Genomic DNA, 6,000 nt, shown 5'->3' with positions numbered 1-6,000 from the left:
TCCTCCCCAACTCATTCTATGAGGCCAGCATTATCTTGACATGAAAACCTGACAGAGACACAAGTATAGAAAACTTTAGGCCAACGTTCTTGATGAACATCAACACAAAAGGTCTGAACAAAATATTTGTAAACTGAATCCAGCAGCACATCAAAAAGATAGTCATCATGGTCAAGTAGGCTGCCTTTCTAAGATGCAAGGTTGGTTCAGCATATGCAAATCAGTAAACGTAATGCATCACATAGACAGTATTAAAAAGAAAACATGATTATCTCAATATATGCAGGAAATAATAAGAGCCACCTATAACAAACCCACAGCCAACATTCTGCTGAATGGGCAAAAGCTGGGAGCATTCCCTTTGAAAACCAGTACAAGGCAAGAATGCCCTCTCTCACCATTTCTATTCAACATAGTATTGGAAGTCCTGACCAGAACAATCAGGCAACATAAAAAAAGTAAAGAGCATCCAAATAGGAAAAGAGAAAGTCAAACTATCTCTGTTTGCAGATAATAGGATTCTATATCTAGAAAACCCTGTAGTTACAACTCTAAAACTTCTTTAGTCAATAAACAACTTCAGCAAAGTTTCAAGATGCAAAATCAATGTGCAAAAATCACTAGCATTTCTCTCCACCAAAGATAGCAACCCTGACGCAAAATCAGAAAGGCCATCCCATTCACAACTGCCACAAAAATAATAAAATATCAAGGAATACAACTAACCAGGGAGGTGAAAGAGCTCTACAATGAGAATTGCAAAACACTGCTTGGAGAAATCAGAGAAGACACAAACAAAAGGAAAAACATCCCATGTTCATGGATAGGAAGATCCAATATGACTCAAATGGCTATACTGGACAAAGTAATTTACAGATTCAATGTTATTCCTTTCAAATTACCAATGAAATTATTTACAGAGCTAGACAAAACTATTTTAAAATTCATATAAAACCAAAAGACTGGGAGTGCTGCCTCACGCCTGTAATCCCAGCACTTTGGGAGGCCGAGGCAGGCGGATCATGACATCAGATTGAGACCATCCTGGCTAACACAGTGAAACTCCGTCTCTACTAAAAATACAAAAAATTACTGGGTATAGTGGTGGGCACCTGTAGTCCCAGTGACTCAGGAGGCTGAGGCAGGAAAATGGCATGAACCCAGGAGGTGGAGCTTGCAGTGAGCTGAGATCCTGAAATTCCACTCCAGCCTGGGCAACAGAGTAAGACTCTGTGGGAAAAAAACAAAACAAAACAGAACAAAAAAACCAGCACAAATAGATGAGGCAATTTTAAGCAAAAAGAGCAAAGCTGGAGGTATCACGTTACCTGACTTCAAACTACTCTACAAGGCTACAGGAACCAAAGCCGCATGATACTGATACAAATACAGGCACATAGAGAAATGGAACTGAATAGAGAACCCAGAAATAAGGCTGCACATCTGTGACCATGTGATAATCGACAAAGCTGACCAAAACAAGCAATAAGAAAAAGATTTCTTATTCAATAAACTGTGCTTTGATAACTGGTTAGCCATATGTGGAAGACTGAAGCCAGACCCCTTCTTTACACCATATACAATAAATAAAAAATGAATAAATAAATAAATAAATAAATAAATAAATAAATAAATTCAAGATTGATTGAAGACTTAAATATAAAACTGAAAAGTATAAAACCCCAGACGACAATCCAGGCAATACAATCCTGGATACAGGAACGTGCTAAGATTTCATGACAAAAACACCAAAAGCAATAGTAAGAAAAGCAAACATTGACAAGTAAGATCTAATTAAACTACAGAGCTTTTGCATAGCAGAAAATAAAACTATCAATGGAGTAAACAGAGAACCTAGTGAGTGGAAGAAAGCATTTGCAAGTTACACATCTGAAAAAGATCTACTATCTCAGCATCTATAAGGAATTTAAATTTACAATAAAAGAAACCTCATTAAAAAGTGGGCAAAGGACCTGAATAGACACTTTTCAAAAGAAGACAAACATATCGCCAACAAGTGTATTAAAAAAACCTCAGCATCACCGATCATTAGAGAAATGAAAATTAAAACCACAGTGAGACGGCCAGGTTCGGTGGCTCATGCCTGCAATCCCAGCACTTTGGAAGACTGAGGCAGGCAGATCACGAGGTCAAGAGATTGAGACCATCTTGACCAACATGGTGAATCCCTATCTCTACTAAAAATACAAAAATTAGTTGGGTGTGGTGGCATGCGCCTGTTGTCCCAGCTGTTCAGAAGGCTGAGGCAAGAGACTCGCTTGAACCTAGGAAACAGAGGTTGCAGTGAGCTGAGATCATGCCACTGCACTCCAGCCTGGTCACAGAGTGAGACTCCATCCCAAAAAAGAAAAAAAGAAAGAAAGAAAGAAACCACAATGAGATGTCATCTCACACTAGTCAGAATGGCTATAGTTAAAGGGTCAAACAATAAATGTGGGCAAGGTTGTAGAGAAAAGGGAACTTATACACTGTTGGTGCAAGTGTAAATTAGTTCAACCATTATGGAAAGCAGCTTGGCAATTCCTCAAAGAGCTAACAGCAGAACTTCCATTCAATAGTCCTGCTTGCAATCCCATTGCTGCGTATATTCCCAAAGAAATAGAAATTATCCCACCATAAAGACACCTACATGTAAATGTTCATTGCAGCTGTATTCACAATAGCAAAGATGGAATCAATCCAAATACTATCAGTAACAGATTAGATTAAGAAAATGCACCACATACATGTTATGGAATACTAAGCAGCCATAAAACAAAGAGATTATGTCATTTGCGGCAACATGGATGTAGCTGGAGGGTATTACCTTTAGCGAACAAACACAGGAACAGAGAACCAAATACTGCATGTTCACAGTTGTAAGTGGGAACTAAATAAGAACTTAGGAACTCAAAGAGGAAAACAAAAGACATTGGGGTCCATTTAAAGTTAGAGGGTTGGAGGAGGGTGAGAAACAGAAAAGATAGCTATATGGTACTGGGCTTAATACCTGGGTGATGAAATCATATGTACAGTGAACCCCTGTGACATATGTTTACTATGTAACAAACCTTCACGTCTACCCCCAAACCTACTGTAAAAGTTTTAAAAAGTTAAACTTAAAAAACTCTTAGGAAAAAGCATATGCAAAAATCTTATAACATTAAATTTGCTGATTGTTTCTTGACTGTTACACCAAAAGCATAGGCCACAAAATGAAAAACAGATAAATTGGACTTGATTAAAATGTCAATCCTTTATATTTTTTTGATATGAAAAACACCCTGTTGTTCATGTTTTCTGATACCAAAAAAACTCACTTCTACTAAAATTTGGTACAAAAAGCATGAACAACAAAGTGAAAAGACAATCAGCAAATAGGAGAAAAGATTTGCAAATCACATATCTGACTAGGTACATAAGGTATAATATAATGAGCAGAATATATAAAGAACTTCTAAGACTCAACAACAAAACAAAACAACAACAGTATTTATAAAAAGGGAGAGGACTTGAATCTATATTGGGTCAATAAGCCTACAGAAAAATGCTCAGCATCACCAGTCATGAAGGACATGCACATCAAAACCACAATAAGGTACCACGTTACATCTATTAAGGTGGCTATATTAAAACCAAAACAACAAAAATGAAAAAGAACAGGTACTGGCTAGGATGTGGGTGAAGTGGAACCCTGGTGCATGGCTGGTGAGAATGGTTTATCAACTGTGACCAGTGGTTTATCAACTGTGACCAATAGTTTGGCAGTATATCAGAAAGTTCTATATAGAATTACCGTATGTTTCAGCAACAGGTGGAACACTTCCATATGTTTCAACTACAGGTGTATTCAAAATAATTACATGCAAGGACGTAATCTGCAACCTCTGCCTCTGGGACTTAAGTGATTCTCGTCCCTCAGTTTCCCGAATAGCTGGGAACTACAAGGATGCACCACCATGCCCAGCTAATTTTTAAATTTTTAGTAGAGACAGGGTTTTGCCATGTTGCCCAGACTGGTCTTGAACTCCTGAGCTTAAGTGATATGCCCATCTCTACCTCCCAGACTTTCGGGATTACAGGTGTGAGCCACCATGCTAACACCTCTGTTATTCAATTTAAGAACTGCATGCACAGATGTGTTTGGGTTTTTCAATTTTATTCACTTATGGACTGATACTTTCACACCTATTTTTATAGCCACATCATTTACAGTATAAAAGGTAAAAACAAATCCAGATATCTTCTAAGAGATAAACACATAAAGAAAATGTGGTATAGATACACAACAGAATATTATTTAGCCTAAACATGAATGCAATCCTGCTGGGCATGGTGGCTTATGCTTATTATCTCAGGACTTTGGGAGGCAAAGATGAGAGGATGTCTTGAGCCTGGGAATTTCAGACCCGCCTGAGCAACATAGCAAAATTCCATCTCTACACGTAGTACAAAAATTTGCTGGCCTTGATGGTGTGTGCCTACAGTCCCAGACACAGGGGAAGTCCATGTGAATCAGAAGGATCACTTGAGCCTGGGGAGGTTGAAGCAGCAGTGAGTCACGATTGCATTGCTGTGCACTCCAGTTTGGGTGAAGAAAGAGACTCCATCTCAAAAAAAAAAAAAAAAATGCAATGCTGATACACGCTACAACATGGATGAAACTTGAAGACATTATACTATGTAAAACAAGCCAAATACAACAGGATAAATATTTAATGTCAAATTTTTTGTGTAGGGGAATGTCATATGAGGCTGGCCCATTCTGAGGAAGAGCAGACTGTTGGGATGTTAGAATACTGATGGCTCATGTTTACAAACCAGGTAATGGTTCGCAAAGCTGGAAGGCAAATTCTGCTGTGGTACCCATCCATCTCAATTGATTGTTCTGAGCCCTGGAGCTGTTATCTTGTGCTTTCCAAGGCTGAAGTTCTGTGCAGACATATTTCTATGCCTCATCTGGGGAGCAGAAAGTTGCATGGGGTATAAGGAGCAGCAGTGATGGCCAGAAATAGCTCTGAGTCTTCCAAGTCTGGCTGCCGGTTACTGTCTTTGCAGAGTTCCACACAGGAGATTGACACAGTGTTTTAATCGGGTCACACTCTGTTTCCTCTGGTGCAGGACAGAAGCTTGCTGTTGCCAACAAGGGCCAGCATTGAAATAAGGTGAGTGGAAGAACAGAGGGTTCTCTAAACCATACCAGAGATGGCTGAGAAAGGCCCCCTGTGCAGACACTGCCATGACAACCCAAAAGGGCTCTGTCCCATATATTAACACACATATAGATATTGATATAGAGGTAGATATTTGTTCTATTCCTTCTATTCCTCTGAATAAGTCTAATGCAAACTGTAACTAGCAAAAGACTGCGTAAATTACCAAAAACGTACTAACAAGAAAAGTCGAGAATCAGATGGCTTCACTGATGAATTGTTTTAAACATTAAAAGTTGTAAATCCAATTTTTCTCACTCTAACAATTGCAATTAGTCAATGCAATATACCAACTCAGTAGAATGAATTTTAGAAAAAAAAGATCATCTCAATTGATGAAGAAAAAATTTGAAACAATCCAAAACATTTTTATAAGAGCACCTGGTAAACTAGATATAGACTAAAACTTCCTCAACATAAAAAAAGGTACCTATAAAAAACTCAAAAGTACCATTATATGCAATGGTGAAAGACTAAAAACTTTCTCCTTAAGATCAGGAACAAGACAAGGATAGTTGCGTTCATCACTTCTGATCAAAATTGCAATACAAATCAGGTCAGAATAATTGAGCAATACAAGAAAAGAAACATTCCAAATGGAAAAGAAATAAGCTTATTTCTACATATAGATATTATAATTTTATGTATATAATTAAAATCCTAAGTAATAATAAAACTGTTAACACTAATAATCAAATTCTGCAAAGTTGTAGAATAGGAGGTCAATATATACACATTAATGGAATAGAATTAAGGGTCAGGAAATATATCCATACATGTAATTTTT

This window comes from Homo sapiens, chromosome Y (assembly GCF_000001405.40).
Source record: "Homo sapiens chromosome Y, GRCh38.p14 Primary Assembly".
In the NCBI taxonomy this organism is placed as follows: Eukaryota; Metazoa; Chordata; class Mammalia; order Primates; family Hominidae; genus Homo; species Homo sapiens.
Note: the sequence above shows the minus strand (reverse complement) of the source record.